The sequence below is a fragment of the Homo sapiens genome, chromosome 4 (genome assembly GCF_000001405.40).
Source record: "Homo sapiens chromosome 4, GRCh38.p14 Primary Assembly".
In the NCBI taxonomy this organism is placed as follows: Eukaryota; Metazoa; Chordata; class Mammalia; order Primates; family Hominidae; genus Homo; species Homo sapiens.
This window is the reverse complement of record NC_000004.12, coordinates 75822049-75839779: the sequence shown is the minus strand read 5'-3', so window position 1 is coordinate 75839779 and position 17731 is coordinate 75822049. Positions and strand designations below refer to the sequence as shown.

The window sequence follows — 17731 nt, the reverse complement described above, 5'->3', positions numbered from 1 at the left end:
TTCTGCACAAGTATAGTCAGGGCTCATCGCATTTTATAGAACATACGTACAGAAAATGGTGGTGTTAGCATGATCTGAGGGTGGAGTTTTTGGCCTTCTCACATCAAAAGGCCACCTCTTGAGCACTAGTGCAGGCCCAGTTGAAGCATTGGTGGTTTCCACCAGTTTGAACTAGACAGGAGCTGGCCCAAATTCCTGAGAAACAACCATCTTTTTGCTCCCATTACCATGGTGACCTGCGAACACTGTCTACAAAGTAGTGAAGGTTAAGTTTCAGCATTCAGTGGCAAGGCCTTCAGCTATCTTGGCTTTCAGCTTCATGGAAAAAGGAAAACAGATAACAAAAAGCAAGGGACCAAAAGCAAGAAAGGCAGGCAGACCCGATCAAATTTACTCCTTGGTGTCAGGGCCAAGGGCCACCTTAGGAACCTGTGCACTGCTGACTTGTCCCGGGAAGGACCTGGAGGGCAAAGGGGTTTGGTGTACCTCACACAGGAAATGCTCACCAAATACCAACTGGGTGCTTTGAATTTTGAAATAAAAACAATTTCAACTATACAAGGAAATTTCCTAAACTAATCTTTACCTGGGAGATAAATTTAGAATTAGCTCTTCCATGAAGTAGAGAGAAAACAGAACTTGGCAAAATGTTAATGCTTTTATCAAAATCGCTTAAAATGATTATGGATTAAAACTTGACTTTGAGAATTCCTGGCCACTTTGTCACATTTATACTTCTCCTTCCCCCGCCCCAATAAGAGACATATTTGTTTGACATGCTTTATTTATTTTTCTTGTCATTTTCTTGTTGTTGTTGTTGTTGTTGCTGTTTTGTCGACAGGCAGGAATGCAGTGGTTCCATCTTGGCTCACTGCAGCATTCACCTCCCCACCCTCCCCCACACCCTCCTCCTGCTCAAGCAATCCTCCCACCTCAGCCTCCTGAGTAGCTGGGATTATAGGCGCATGCCACCATTCCAACTAATTTTTGTATTTTTTGTAGAGATGGGGTCTCACTGTGTTGCCCAGGCTGGTCTCGAATTCCTAGGCTGCCTGCCTTGGCCTCCCAAAGTGCTGGGATTACAGGTTTGAGCCACCATGCCCGGCCTGGCTGCTTTTACTTTTTCCCTTTTTTCTTTCCTTATTTTCAGCTGCAGGAATGTAGCCAATTCAGAGGCCTTATTCCCCATAATTTGGAACTTTCCTTTGGATTTGATCAAGTCAGATAGAGTTGGTCAAACCCAAAATAAATCTAATATATTAGATTTATAATTTATATTAGATTACTGAGTGCTCTAATGGTAAGAAGAAATTAAGACCAGCTGGTTGTTAATCTTAACTTTAGCCATTAAGGAGAATTTCCAAAACAAAACCCCAATTCAGCTACTTACCTAGGAATGGGGCTCAGGATGAAGACTGCTCTCTGCCATCCTAGAAGCAGAAAAAAAACCTCAAACTCGCCTTACCTGTTCAAAGCAAGTTGAAACTCCAGAAAGGAGTTGCCTGCTCTCCATCATTATGGAAGCAGGAAAAGCTCACTTTCCTTGTTGAAAGTGAGTAAAACTCCAGAAAAGGAGTTGTACAGCAAAATAAACCTTAGATTTCAACCAAATTTTGGGAGATCAGGGATTCTCTGGAGGGGGCAGCTCCCAGGCCTAAGCAAATTGACCTATTAGTTTGAGCAATAAAGATAGCTCCAGCCAGATAGGAGATTTGCCAAAGGTCAAGGGCATCTCCACCTGACTTCCTTCATGGTTGCCAATCTGTGAACCAAAAAGTATCTGAGACAGGCCTCAATCAACTTAGAAAATTTGGCTGGATGCTGTGGCCCATGCCTGTAATCTCAGCACTGTGGAAGGCCAAGGCAGGCAGATCACTTGAGGTCAGGGGTTTAAGACTAGCCTGGCCAACATGGTGAAACCCCGTCTCTACAAAATTATCCAGGTGTGGTGGCGGGTGCCTGCAATCCCAGCTACTCAGGAGGCTGAGGCAGGAGAATCACTTGAACCCAGGAGGTGGAGGGTGCAGTAAGCTGAGATTGCACCACTGCACTCCAGCCTGGGTGACACAGTAAGACCCCACCTGGGGAAAAAAAAAAAAAAGAAATTTTAGAAAATTTATTTTGTCAAGATTAAGAATGCATGCCCAGGGGCCAGGTCTGTGCCTTCTCCAAAGATGATTTTAAGGGCTTCAATATTTAAAGGGGAAAGGACAGATATTGGGGAAAGAGAAAGAAATTTTAAAAGATGTGGGTAGATAAGAGACAAACATTTGCATTCTTTTGAGCCTTTGGCCATCACCGAATACACAATTTACACGTGAGAGGGCCTTAGAGGAAAGTTACTTACGTCTTCGTCTAACTCAGCAAATCTGCATTTTTACATCAGTGGAAGCAATCAGACATGCATTTGTCTCAGGTGAGCACAGGGATGACTTAGAGTTCTGTCCTTTGTCCTGCATCTGTGAAGATAGGCTGTCAATTTACCTTGCCAGAGTAAAATTCAACAGAACAATTTTAGGGTAAAGATCTTGGGGCCCACAAGAAATTTCCTAATGGGCAAATTGTGAAGAAGGTATGTAGCTTTTTAAATTCTTTGTAGCTATCTTATTTAGGAATAAAATAAAAGGCAGGTTTGCCTGACGCAGTTCCCAGCTTGACTTTTCCCTTTGGCTTAGTGATTTTGGGGTCTTAAGATTTATTTTTCAGGGCCGGTCGCGGTGGCTCACGCCTGTAATCCCAGCACTTTGGGAGGCTGAGGCGGGCGGATCACGAAGTCAGGAGATCCAGACCATCCTGGCTAACACGGTGAAACCCCGTCTCTACTAAAAGTACAAAAAATTAGCCGGGTGTGGTAGTGGGTGCCTGTAGTCCCAGCTACTGGGGAGGCTGAGGCAGGAGAATGGCGTGGACCCGGGAGGCGGAGCTTGCAGTGAGCCAAGATCGCGCCACTGCACTCCAGCTTGGGCAACACAGCAAGACTCCATCTCAAAAAAAAAAAAAAAAAAAAAAGATTTATTTTTCTTTCACGTAAGAATGAGATGCTCTGAGTAGTTTGAAATTTGTATAACTATTTGTTGGGACTCAGAAGACAATATCCCCAAACAAAGGCCTCAGAAGCGAGTTTTCCTCTGACCTTCTCCTGTTCTGTCTCTCAGTCCCATTGTTCCCAAGGCAGGTCATAGAAACCAGAACCCTGTTTCCCGAAAGCCAGTCATAAAACTTAAAATAACATCTAACTTTCCCTCCATCTTTTTTTTTTTTTTTTTTTTTGAGAAGGAGTCTCGCCCTGTCACCAGGCTGGAGTGCAGTGGTGTGATCTCAGCTCAGTGCAGTGCAACCTCCACCTCCCGGGTTCAAGTGATTCTCCTGCCTCAGCCTCCTGAGTAGCTGGGACTACAGGCGTGTGCCACCATGCCCAGCTAATTTTTGTATTTTTAGTAGAAACGAGGTTTCACCATATTGGCCAGGCTGGTCTCAAACTCCTGACCTTGTGATCCACCCGCCTCAGCCTCCCAAAGTGCTGGGATTACAGGCGTGAGCCACCGCAGCCCGGCGCCTCCATCTTTCTGTGTGAAACCTGACCATAAAGAAATGATCTGACCTACCTTGTTTGACTGTAGGTCATAAGACCCCCATTCCAGAGAGGGTTCTGCCCCATCTCCAGCAGGAAGGAATGTATGCACACAGAGGCCAAGAAGAATCTGAACAGACAGGCCTTACTACATTTCCCCACTCAGTCTATTGGCATTGGATCTACCCTTTTTGTTCAATCAGATTTCTACACAGCTGTCCATACTTTGTTGAACCTAAGCATAAAAATGGACAATGTCCTCTTTATCTTTGGGTCTTCACTCTGAAGACTTCTGTGTAAATTTGTATGCCTTTTCTCCTATTAATCTGCCTCTTGTCAGTGATTTTCAGTGAACCTTCAGAGGGTAAAGGGGAAGTTTTCCCTTGGCCTCTGCATATCTATAGTTTTGTAAAGGAGAAACAAAAATGAATTCACGGGAAAACTAGAGTCCTAGGGAATAGAGGTGAAAAAAGGATTTACAGTTCTTGTAAATCCTTCCTTTTCCACAGCCTATCATTATTTTAATTAATTCTTTTTCGAGATGGAGTTTCACTCTTGTTGCCCAGGCTGGAGTGCAGTGGCGCAATCTCGGCTCACCGCAACCTCCGCCTCCTGGGCTCAAGCGATTCTCCTGCCTCAGCCCCCCGAGTAGCTGGGATTACAGGCATGCGCCACCACGCCCAGCTAATTTTGTATTTTTAGTAGAGAGATGGGGTTTCTCCATGTTGGTCAGGCTGGTCTCGAACTCCCGACCTCAGGTGATCCGCCTGCCTCAGCCTCCCAAAGTGCTGGGATTACAGGCGTGAGCCACTGCGCCTGGTCCGTAGCCACTTTTAAATAGCAGAATTAAATAACCTGCTTTTCAACATTGACATCCTGGTAAAAAACAAATGGGTTAATGGTGTCAACTTCCTTTATGAAATTCTAATAGAATGTCTTTTCCTACAATCAGAAACACATTTCTATTTGCATCTATCTTTATAATTTAAATAACAACTTGAATCTGTTCCTTGCTCCACAAATCTTGTAATGGTGCTTGGCTTAAACAATGCAATTTTGTTTAACCTGAAACTGTAGCTGCTGTTTGCTATTAGGAAAAGTAGCACTTTAGAATTTGTTTGGTATATCGTAAGAACAGATTCCTAAAATTCTATTTTATTTACCCAGTAAATATAAGTCATTGGGCTAAAGAAGACACTCAAGGGCAGCAACCTCTAATTCAGAGCTTTTGCTTGAAGAACAATGTAGCAAGAGTACATGAGTAACCGGGGTAAAACAATTCTTTTTAGTTGTGAAACAAAAATTCTGAAATAGGAGATGCCTTGTGATTTGAGAAGTGCCCCATTGTTGGAGCCATTTTTAATACAGTTTCCTTCTCTGTACTTAGGGGATAGCAACTTTATAAACTCCTCCACCCTTTTAGGAAATTTAGAAGAAGATACTTGAAAGAGAGTAAAACAGAAAGGATTGAATTCAGTGGTAAATAAAATTTAAGGGAGCCCACTGTTTTTGACTGAGCTCCTGCACTCAGCCCCAACAACCAAACCAAAATGGAGTCACCCACTGTTTTTGACTGAGCTCCTGCACTTGGCCCCAACAGACCAAACCAAAATGGAGTCACTCACGTCAAGCACCACACAATCAAACTGAAACTTTAAAAAACAGAACAATTTCCAAATAGGTAGTTTTCCCAAAAACCAAAGAGATTCACAGCAACCACTTGTAAAGGACCCAGTTAACCTGAGCAGACATGATAAGGAAGCCCCCTCTGCTTTAACCCATCAAGGAAAGTAACCTGAAGTAGTAACCTAATGTCACTTTTTGCCCTATGCTGTTTCCTTGTTCTTGCTCAAGCTATCTTATAAAAACCAACTGTTCTGCCATGCCCAAGGGAGCTCCCTCTAGTTTATAAACAGGATGCTGCCTGATTCATGAATTGCTAACACATGTCAGTTAGTTCCTTAAATTAAATTCACTGATATTTTGTTTTTTAATGTATTGTGAGATTCAGAAGTGGGAGTAATTTTAGGCAAAGATATTCTCACATTCAAAGAAAGCTTGATCTATTCTCTCAAACAATGATGGACCAAATTTAAAAGATTACCTAACTGAAAGTCATGGGAAACCAAGCTCTGAATCTACTAAGTGACATAATAATGTTTTTAATATTTATACGGCCAGAAATTAATGTCACTTTTGGCATCGTAAACACTGCTGGTGGCTGGGTGTGGTGGCTCATGCCTGCAATCCCAGCACTTTGGGAAGCCAGGGAGGGTAGATCGCTTGAGCTTGGAGTTCAAGAACAGCCTAGGCAATATAGCAAACTCTTGTCTCTACGAAAAATACAAAAATTAGCTGGGCGTGTGGCAGGTGCCTCTAGTCCCAGCTACTTGAGAGGCTGAGGTGGGAGGATGATGGCTTGAGCCTGGGAGGTGGAGGTTGCAGTGAGCCGAGATCATGCCACCGTACTCCAGTCTGTGCAACATAGTGAGATCCTCTCAAAGTAAAAGAAAAAAAAGAAACATTGTTTATTTTGGTTTTGTTTTCTAATCAATTTTCTCTTGTCAGTCATGTATAAAATGGCTTTTAATTTCCTAGCATTTTGTGAAACGTTTTTCACAATTTTTAATATACACTGTGAGAGTGCCCCATTTTCCTGCTCTTCTAATTATATAGATGGATGTGACCAAATTGTCTAGTAGTATGGTGTAAAAATATGCTGAATTTATTTTCCAAGTCACAGTTGCCAATACCAGATGAGTTCGTGCCTGTAAGTTATTTAAAAATACTTTACAAAATATTAAAATATATCTTCTGGCAATCTTTCTTCACAACTATTTTTTTTTAAACCTTCTAGATACTTTTACAAAATGGCAATAGACAAGAGGTGAACATTACAGACCAATGTTCAGTGAGGCTAGTTAGAGAACTGAAGTTCAGACCAAAGAATTAATACTTTGAGGCACAAATAATTGAATTTTTTTAGACAAAGTTATTTTCCTTGGTATTTATCCAAATTTGTACATTTTTATGTCACCTGAATCTAGTAAAACTGCTAATGGTCTCAAGATAAAGGTTTAATTGCCAAGCTACTGTGAGGGTAGTTAGCAAAGCTGATCAGACATTGGATTTAGGATTAGTTGTAGCTTTGCCACTTTGTCTGAGAGCAATGGTTAAAAATGACTTTGAACTATATGGCCAGAGCAGGATTCAAGTATTGGAAGTATTATCTTTGGAATTGTAATTTTTGCAATTCCTAAGTATATTGATTTTCCAGGGCTGAAGTAACCACAAACTTGGTGGCTTAAAACGAAAGATGATTGTTTTGTACTTTCAGAGGCCACAATTCAGAAATCAAGGTGTCAGCAGGGCCATGCTCCCTCCGAAGGCTCTAGGGGAGAATCCTTCCAGCCACCAGAAGCTGCAAGGAGAATCCTTTCTGCTTCTGGTGGCTCTTGAAGCTCCTTGGCTTGTGGGATCATAACTTCAACCCCTGCCATTTTCACTTTTTTTTTTTTTTTCCAGACACAGTCTTGCTCTGTCACCCAGGCTGGAGTGCAGTGGCAGAATCTCAGCTCATTGCAACCTCTGCCTCCTGGGTTCAAGAAATTCTCCTGCCTCAGCCTCCCAAGGAGCTGGGATTATAGGTGCGTGCCACCAAGGCCGGCTAATTTTTGTATTTTTAGTAGAGATGGGGCTTCACCATGTTGGTCAGGCTGGTCTTGAACTCCTGACCTCAGGTGATCCGCCTGCCTTGGCCTCCCAAAGTGCTGGGATTACAGGCATGAGCCACCAAGCCAGGGCGTCTCCTACCATTTTCTTAGTCCATTATTTTTGTTGCTATAACAGAACACTTTAGACTGGGTAATTTATAAAGAAAAGAGGCTTATTTAGCTCACAGTTCTGTAGGCTGGAAATTCAAGATTGGGTAGCTGCAACTGGTCAGGGTCCCACACCACTTCAACTCATGGAAGAAAGAGGAAGGGGAAGCGGGTGTGTGCCAAAAGATCACATGGTGAGAGAGGAAGCAAGAGAGAGAGTCTAGGAGGCTGAACTCACTGTTATAACAACCTGCTCTTCAGTAATTAATCCAGTCCCACAAGAATGAGAATGCTCTCCACTGGGAGGGCATTAACCTATTCATGAGACACCTGCTCCCATGACCCAAACACTTCCCATCTCCCAATACTGCCACACTGGGGATCAAATTTCAACAGGAGTTTTAGTGGGGACAAACCACATCCAAACCATAGCAGCCTCCTTCTTCATATGACTGTCTCCCCTGTTTCTTTGGGTCTCAGATCTCTCTCATTGGATTAAATCCAGCATTATCTCATTTTGAGATCCTCAACTTAATTATATCTGCAAAGACCCGTATATCCAAATAAGGTCACATTCACAGAAAAAGGAGTGGGGTAGCTAGAGCTTATGCATATCTTTTTTTTTTTTTTTGAGGCAGAGTCTTGCTCTGTCACCCAGGCTATAGTGCAGTGGTGCAATCTTGTCTCACTGCAAACTCTGCCTCCCAGGTTCAAGCGATTCTCCTGCCTCAGCCTCCTGAGTAGCTGGGATTATGGGCACCTGCCATCACGCCTGGCTAATTTTTGTACTTTTAGTAGAGATGGGATTTCACCATGTTGGCCAGCCTAGTCTCAAACTCCTGACCTCCAGTGATCTGCCTGCCTTGGCCTCCCACAGTGCTGGGATTACAGGTGTGAGCCACCACACCCAGCTGAGCTTGTGCATATCTTTTGGGGGGACACAATTCAACCTACTGCATTGACCAAGTTCCATGGATTACACTCACCTTTCTCATCTGTCATGTGCTCCTTGGACTTGATGATATGCCAAGACACAAGCTAAACATGATACATCTTCTGGGACTATCAGCTTTTTCAAAATTTTTTAGAAAAATTTAAGAAATTTAACTGGTAATTTAATGTTAATATTATAATAAATATGTATTGTGGCATAAAATCCAAAATTCACATGAAATTTTAAGACAAAATGTGAGACTCCAGCATATTTTTTAGTTAGGCAATGACTTTTTTTGGCAAGGCCTCCAGAAGAATGAATGGCATTTACTGTTTTGCTGATAGGGTACCTCAGGGTGAAAATCTGGGATTTATCATCACAGCTTTCATTATTTACAAGCAAACTAGAAATCTCTGACATGTAGTAATTCGTCATTTTATCAAGGTGGAAATTTCAATCATTTGTTGCCATAGGCTGCTTTCTAGGAACAAATTACCTACTGAGTCTTTCCAGTTGATCATATAGCTTGGGCTCCTGGGCTTAACAATATTTTTCTCTGGTTCTCACCTATTCTATGGGAGATATGATAAAATACAGGGTCATATGTGAATTTTAGAATTTGCACAAGTGATTTATTCAACACATATTTATTGTTTGATTGTATGGGATATAGGAGAGAACCCCGAAAAGAACCAATTCTTGCTCTTTCCAAACGGATAGATAGTTATAGACATTGTATAGATATAGATATAAACATAGACATAGATATGACATAGTACAGGTCTACCATATATCTAGAATTTATGTCAAAATAGTTGGCATACCTGCCATCAGTGCCCGTGCTTGATCAGGATAAACATTGCCAAGTGATCTTGGTGCTCTTTCCTGCTGAATCCTGATACGGCTTCAGGAACAAAAGACAGCTGTGCTTCCTGAATACCTTATTCACAAGACTGGTATCAAAAACAAGAGTGCTATATGTTGCTTTAACCAGTGATTTTGATAACGTTACATTTAGAGCAATGCTTTTTATTCATGTTTTTTTTTCCATGAGATGCTTTGGCATCATTATTCACTTAAATTCATCTGAAAAATGAGAGAGCATTAAAGGTAACTCAATGGCTTTCAAAGGTTGCCTAAAGGCTTCACTGTGCTTACTTGATGGCAGATGTACAACCCATCACCAATATCCATTCTCTTTCCCATGGCAGACATCACTAAGGGAGCAGGACATCTTGCCCCACTGAGCAAAATGTGGTCTCATAATCTCAACCAAATTGCACCAGTGCACCAAGTTGTCATACAGGTAAAATCTGCTAGCCAATCCTGGCCAAGGCAAGTCATCAAAAAGACCTAGAATAAATGAATTCTGCTAAAAACCAAGCAAAAACTTCATAGTGTTACCAGAAACACACTGAAATGATCTAATCTACCACTCAAGAAAGTGATTGGCTGTTTAAAGTCAAATGACTTTGGGAGGCTGAAGCAGGAGGGTTGTTGAGCCCAGGAGTTCAGGACCAGCCTGGGCAATATAGTGAGTGAGACTCCCATCTCTACAAAAAAAGTTTTTTAATATATAACAAATATAAATATGTCTGGTGCAGTGGCTCATGCTTGTAATCCTAGCACTTTGGGAGGCCAAGGCAGAAGAATTGCTTGAACTCATGAGTTCGAGACCAGACTGAGCAACATGAAAAAAAACCCATTTCTACAAAAAATAGAAAAATTGACTGCGCTTGGTGCAGTGTGCATGTAGTCCCAGCTACTTGGGAGGCTGAGGTGGGAGGATCACCTGAGCCCAGAGGTTGAGGCTGCAGTGAGCTGTGATTGTGCCACTGCACTCCCAGTGACAGAGTGAGACTCTATCGCTTCTTGGCCTTTTGGCTAAGATCAAGTGTAGTATCTGTTCTTATCAGAGTGAGACCTTGTCTCACAACCAATAAATAAATAAAGTCAAATATATGGCTGCAAAGACTTCAAAACTAAAAGCCATTGCTACACACTCTAATTATAAAAATTTTCATCTAATGCTCAAGGGCTTGGAAAAGATCCTAATGGTTATTTTATCTCCATTAAAGGCAATTGGATGTGCTTGTGCCCAAGTGGAGACATTTATATTTCATGCCTTTTTAAAAAATTACTATAATTTAGATGTAGTCAATAGGTACTTGGTGAGACTTTAATGCAGTAATAAACACCGAATAGATAAACTTCTCCATCTGTACTTCCTTAATAAGAGGAATAGAGTTCAATGTGCAGATATCTATAATACAACAATTTTCCAAGGTCATTGTCTATTCTAACATTCTTTTGACGATGACTAAGACTTTTTACTCATGTAGACATACAGTTCTCTCACTTGATAATATTAATTTAATCAGTCTGAGCAATTTCAATTATATAAAGTAGGAAAGATAGAAAATGAAGACCAAAGCCCCGTTTTTAAAACACAAAGAATAATAAAGAATCAGATTGGTGGAATGATGACTCAATTATTATGTAACAGGCTGTACTAAAACATTCAAAAACAGTGACTGACAATGGGTCCATTTTCATCCAAGGTTCCACAAATCACTTCTTATATTGCTTTCAAATCAATTTGAATAAAAGTAACTGCCTTTCTTAACCAAAACAAGAAAAAAATACAAAACCATCACAGAAGTGTAGGCATTATACAAAACTACTGAAAGTTAGGAGACCTGTCAGGGCCAAGGGAAAATTTCCCCTTTACTCTCTGGAGGTTCTCTGAAAAAATCATGGACAAGAGCCAGATTAATAGAAAAGGCATATAAATTTATTATTAACATGTGCACAGTAGCCTTCAGAACGAAGACCCAAAGATACAGGGGACAGTGTCCATTTTTATGCTTACATTCAACAAAGTATGGAACAATGTGTAGAAATATGATTGGACAAAAGAGCATGCTACCAGACTGAGCGGAAACTCAGCAAGGGCTGTCTGTCTAGATTCTTCTTGGCTTCTCTGAGCAGCATTCCTACTTTTCCTTCCTTCTGGGTACGGGGCAGAACCCTCTCTGGAATGGGGGTCTTGTGACCTACATTCAAACGAAGTAGGTCAGATAATTTCTTTTCTTTCTTTTTTTTTTTTTTGAGGTGGAGTTTCGTTCTTGTTGCCCAGGCTGGAGTGCAATGGCACAATCTTGGCTCACTGCAAACTCCGCCTCCCCGGTTCAAGCGATTCTCTTGCCTCAGCCTCCCAAGTAGCTGGGATTACAGGCACCCACCATGCCTGGCTAATGTTTTGTATTTTTAGTAGAGACGGGGTTTCGCCATATTGGCCAGGCTGGTCTCGAACTCCTGACCTCAGGTGATCCACCCACCTCAGCCTCCCAAAGTGCTGGGATTATAGGCACCAGCCACCGCACCTGGCCAGATAATTTCTTTATGGCTAGGTTTTACACAGACAGGCAAAGGGAAAGTTAAGAGTGAAAAGGTGTTCTGGTTTCTATGACTTGCCTTGGGAAAGAGGGATTCTAGTTTCTAGCACTAGCTTTGGGGGATAATGGGACTGAGAGACAGGAGGGCAGAAGGTCAGATAAAACTTTTTGCTTCTGAAGCTACTTCTGAGGCCTTCATTTTGGAGTAGTGTTCTCTGAGTCCCAACAGAATAAAGAAAAAGTATGGAGAGCACAACTCAAAGTAATTTACATAAAAGAGGAACTAAGGAAAATGTTTCTATTTTTAAAATATATATATATACTTTTTTTTTTTTAAGAGATAGGGCCTGGGTCTGTGTTGTCCAGGCTGGAGTACAATGGCTCAATCATAGCTCACTTCAGCCTCAAACTCTTGAGCTCAAGTGATCCTCCTACCTCAGCCTCCCAAGTAGCTAGGACTACAGGTGAGTCACCACACCTAGCTAGCTAATTTTTTTTTTTTTTTGTAAGAGACAGGATCTTACTATGTTACCCAGGCTAGACTCAAACTCCTAGGCTCAAGTGATCCTCCCACTTCGGCCTCCTGAAATGTTTGGATTACAGGTGTGAGCCACCATGCCTGGCCATGGCAAATATTTATCTGCCCAAATAAATGTAAATACAGTGGAACACTTAAACCAAGGATCCTTGGTTTTGTAGTGAAGACAGGACCCAGCTACCACTGCCCCCCCCCCATATTCTGCACCTTGAGCCTTCCTCATTATGAACACATTTTCTACAAAGCTAAATATAGATCGGAAGGGCTTATAAAACATTGTTGAAGATACTGCTGCATCATTTGAAAATGAGTTCTTTAAAAACAATGGTATCTTCACAAATGGTTTATTTGTATCTTTAACACACATGCACACACGCATGGGAAAAAAGAACTCAAAAACAAGGAAACTCTGGAAACAAATGGGCACAATAAATACATTTATTTTAAAATTTTGATGAGTGCTTAAATTCACTAAATGGTATTTTAGCCCATAGAAAAATTTCTCATTTAGAGGAGAGCAAACAAAAATGAGCCATACAGATCCACATTACTCCTTAATTAAGATGGGAAATTGCTTATCTCCATATTAACAAAGATTAAATACCTAACTAGAAAAAAATATTTGGCTGGGCATGGTGGCTCAGGCCTATAATCCCAGCACTTTGGGAGGCCGAGGCGGGCGGATCACCTGAGGTCAAGGGTTCAAGACCAGCCTGGCCAACATGGAGAAACCCCGTCTCTACAAAACTAGCTGGGCATGGTGGCGCATGCCTGTAATCCCAGCTACTCGGGAGGCTGAGGCAGGAGAATCGTTTGAACCTGGGAGGTAGAGGTTGCGGTGAACTGAGATCGTGCCATTGCACTCCAACCTGGGCAACAAGAGTGAAACTCCATTTCCAAAACAACAACAAAAAAAAAAAAAAAAGAAAAAGAAAAAATATTTATTGTGATCAAAACAGATTTATCAAGAACAGGAACTTGGTGGATAATATGAGAAACATTTTAGTCTATTACTATAAATTGCACAAAATGCCCATGTTAATTGCCTGCTTATAAAGGGCATTCCTTTGACTATTTTGGAAGGTAAAGGCAATTTGAAGGGAACTTCTTCTGGATAAATAATGTTCCATAAAAGTCACACATAAAACCAAGCAATCATGTGCCTTTGGATTTCATAACAAAGACAGGAACAAACCATGACAGCCCCCTCTCCTTTTGTTGAGGGCTCCTCATTATAATCCATGGGAGTGGTTGGGAGAAATCATCCTAGATCATTCTGCATGATGGTTGGTGAGGTTTCACACATTATTGGCTGTCTTGAAGGGTTGCTCCACTAAAACTCATTCCATGTAGTAAAGTCTCATCATTTTTAAAGTCTCAGACTTCATATCCCCAATTCTGTTAAATTCTCAATAACTCAAAGCAGGTAACAAGATCTTTGAAACAATAGGACAGAAGCTCTCAAAATTTTAATTTGATTATGGAGGGTTCAGAATATATTACCCCAAAATATGGCACACTGGCATACTGAATATTTTAAGCTGAGGGATTTGATAAATGGCAGGTGCTGGAAGGACTCTCTGAGCTTCCTTTGAAACAGCTTACAAGACCCTCATGTGAGAGGTGTCCTCCCTATATCTGCAGAAAAGGAGCATCCTTATCTCCAAAGACGGAAGACTGCTGAGAGGAACCCGAATGAATGTGCCTTGCCCCAGTTTACCACTCTTAGCTCATACCCCTTTTTGTCCTATCACATTTACCCACGATTTTCCACTCTTCATCGAGCTCGAGTTTCACCATTTATTTGGGTCTCCATTTCCTTATGAAGGCTCCCACAACATGTAAATTTTGTATTAAATCAATTTGCATACTTTTATTAGTCTATCTTTATTCAGTCTAATTTACTGGGGCCTCAGCCAATGAATTTAAGATGGATAGAAGGAACATAATTTTTTCCTCCCCTACAATTGTGAACAAGTAAATAGAATTCATTTATTCGGCCAATGTTTATGGAGTGCCCACTATATACCAAGCATTGATTGAGGTCCTGGGAATTCAGTGGTAGGAAAAACAATCTTCCTGCCCTCATAGCACTTACATCCATTCCTGTGGGTGTAGATACACAAATAAATAGTCAAGTATTTTTAGAGAGTAATTAGTGTTACTAAGTGAATAAATAAGTGGGGTAGGATGGCGACTGTTGGGTGTATTGATGGTAGGGTTGTCCTGCAGCCCCTGTCTCTCTCCCATCCCACCTTGTCTCTGCTTCATCCTACTCTGCAGATACACATTCTCTACTTCTCTGTGTACTCATCTGGTGAAGACATCTACTCCACAGCTCTCAGCCCACATCTTCCTGGTTAAAGAAGCCAGACCGGACTGAAAAAGAATACAGATATGAATTTCCCTCGTCTAGTCAACTATAGCCAAGATAGAAACATTTTAGAAAACAAAAGACAGAGTTTACTTACAAAGAAAGAGGGAGTTAGACTTTGGAAAAACAGACTTTTCAAATTAGAAAACAAAAACATATATTGTATATGTATATATTATATATATGTGTGTATATATAAATATATATAATATATATAGATATATATTATATATTGATATATATATTATATATAGATATGTTATATATTATATATATAATATATGTTATATATTATATATATAGATATATATATTATATATATCTATATATAGATATATATATTATATATATCTATATATAGATATATATTTTTTTGACAACGTCTCACACTGTTTTCCAGGCTGGAGTGCAGTGACATGACCATGGCTCACTGTAACCTCAAAATCCTGGGCTCAAGCAATCCTCTTGCTTCAGCCTCCTAAGTAGCTGAGACTACAGGCATGCCCCACCACACCCGGCTAATTTTTGTACTGTTAGTAGAGACAGGGTTTTGCCATGTTGGCCAGGCTGGTCTTGAACTCCTGACCTCAAGTGATCAACCTGCCTTGGCCTCCCAAAGTGCTGGGATTACAGGCATGAGTCACCATGACCGGCCCCAAACAAACATTTAAAGGAAAAAAAACCCCTCAAAGTTACCAAGATTATAATAGTTACATTGGCCAGCTTGTGGTGGGGAAACAGCACCATTCCCACATGATTAGCATTGTCACAAAGGTTATGATGTGTCTTCAGACATTCCTTAGCAAAAATCAGAGGTAAAATTATTTTGGTTAGGGAGTTTAGTTTTACAAGAAATAAGTCAAGGTTTTCTTATTTTAGAGATCAGAACTAGTCGGGGTGGTTTTGGTTTATCTCAGGGTGCAAAGCTTTGTTTGTCCTGAATTTGATTTGTAAAGTGCTCAATCATGTTGGAAACAGGGTGAAGTATCAGCTTTTGCTTCTACAAGTTATAAGGTACAAGCACAGCAGCCAGGGCCCATCCCCATGAAAGGAAACAGTTAAGGAGGTCCCTCTGCACCAGACAGGCTTCCAGAAGAAAGTGCTTGCCACTGGCTGGACATGCTAAGCCTGGTTAAGCCTAACGACATAGCCATAGACTTCTATACTGCAGATTCCTGAGTCTCCGTGTTTGACCACTGCTTTTCATAAAGCATTTTCATGCCTGTTCATACAGCCAATCCCCTCATAGCCTGTGAGAATAGTTAACACTTATGAAGCACTTCCTCTATGTGCCAAACAGTTAATGAACCTTTGTTAAGCACCAGGCACTATTCTAACAATGTTGCATGTCAACTGTTAATCCACTTAATTCTCATACTATTCCTGTGAAGGTAAGGTATGATGATTGTCCCTGTGTTATGGATAATAAAATTGAAGTAATTTGCCCAAAGTCACACAGTTTGAAAGTGGTGGAGTTGGAATTTGATCCAAGGTATTCCAGCTCCACAGTCCATACTTTTAACCATTGTCCTAAGTGGCCTCTCCAGAAATGAGTGTTATTCTAATTTTACAGACGAAGGAATAAGCGGTTTGCAGAAATTATGTAACTTGCTCAAAGTCACTATTAGAATTATAATGCAGCCGGGCACGCTGGCTCACGCCTGTAATCCCAGCACTTTGGGAGGCCAAGGTGGGCGGATCACAAGGTCAGGAGCTCGAGACCAGCCTGACCAACATGGTGAAATCCCATCTCTACTAAAAATACAAAAAAAATTAGCTGGGCATGGTGGCGCGCACCTGTAATCCCAGCTACTCTGGAGGCTGAGGCAGGAGAATCGCTGGAACCCAGCAGGAGGTTGCAGTGAGCCTAGATCACGCCATTGCACTTCAGCCTGGGCGACAGAGCAAGACTCCATCTTAAAAAAAAAAAAAAAGAATTATAATGCTGAGATTTTATATTAGGTCTTTTGACTTCCCACCAGGTTTCCTTCAATAATGACAGGAGCAATAACAAAGTTAACACTTTCATATAGGGCTTACCATGTACTATGCACTTTACTTACATGGGCTCATTTCATCCACAGCTCTGTGGCATTCGTATTATTATTACTGCCAGTTTACATGAAGAAGTTGAGGCACAGAGAGGTTAAATAACTTGCCCAAAGCCACACAGCTGGAAAATGGCAGAGTAAGGATTTGAACTCAGGCAGTCTGTTCTCAGAATCTACACTCTTAATTATGACATCACACAGCCTCTCCATGCTGTACACTTGTGTTTCTCAGGGGGAACCAGTAAGGGAAAAGAGGAAAGGGAAGGACACTAACATTTACTGGTTATGCTTCTGTATCCTCTCATAGATTATATTATTGTTGACATTTTCACTGCCCCTCTATATCAGATGTGTCCTTATGGGATTATGCTTTGCATTGATATTAGTTTGGACATGACTTGCTTTGGCCAATGACATGTGAATGGAAATGTTGCCACTTCAAAGCAGAAGTTATAAATGCCACTGTGAGATTCTGCCATCTCTCGTTTGCCTCTGTCACAAGACCTGCCTTTCCCAGAGAGAAGTTGCTGCTTTTTTTTGAGACAGGGTTTCACTCTGTTGCCCAGGCTGGAATGTAACGGCACGATCTCTGCTCATTGCAATCTCTGCCTCCTGGTCCCAAGCGATCCTCCCACCTTAGCCTCCTGAGTAGCTGGGACTATCGGCATGTGCCACCACTCCTGGCTAATTTTTGTATTTTTTTTTTGTAGAGATGGGGGTTTTGCCATGTTGGCCAGGCTGGTCTCCAATTCCTGGGCTCAAGCGATACACCTGCCTCACCTTCCCAAAGTGCTGGGATTACAGGCACGAGGCACTATACCCAGCCAGAAGCTGCTTCTTCAGTGTTGGTCTTGAAATGAAGATTTGGAGCAGAGCCACAGCTGGCATGCCAAAGATATGAATGTGTACAAGAAGTACCTTTGGGTAAGCCACTGAAATTTAAGACTTGTTTGTTTCTACAGCATAACTCAGCCTAAGCAGACTTTTATGTGTGTATTAAAAGTTTAAGGCTGGGCGTGGTGGCTCATGCCTGTAATCCCAGCC

The 17731-nt window shown here is 41.4% G+C and overlaps 1 long non-coding RNA gene and 1 pseudogene across 4 annotated transcripts; one reads left to right on the top strand and one right to left on the bottom strand.

Annotated features, from left to right (window-relative positions):
* Positions 1-1079: 1079 nt before the first annotated feature.
* Positions 1080-17263, bottom strand: LOC105377284 (uncharacterized). Of its 4 annotated transcripts, XR_001741730.1 has the most exons (6): positions 16700-17263; positions 15351-15434; positions 14518-14641; positions 9151-9412; positions 2348-2459; positions 1080-1430 (listed from the first exon to the last, which is right to left on the bottom strand). It is a non-coding gene; the product is annotated as an uncharacterized LOC105377284 (long non-coding RNA). The 4 variants fall into 4 exon arrangements; XR_938891.2 differs by lacking the exon at positions 15351-15434; XR_938890.2 differs by lacking the exon at positions 15351-15434 and having other exon boundaries at positions 9151-9279.
* On the top strand, positions 10191-10326 carry RNU2-16P (RNA, U2 small nuclear 16, pseudogene; annotated as a pseudogene).
* Positions 17264-17731: the final 468 nt, after the last annotated feature.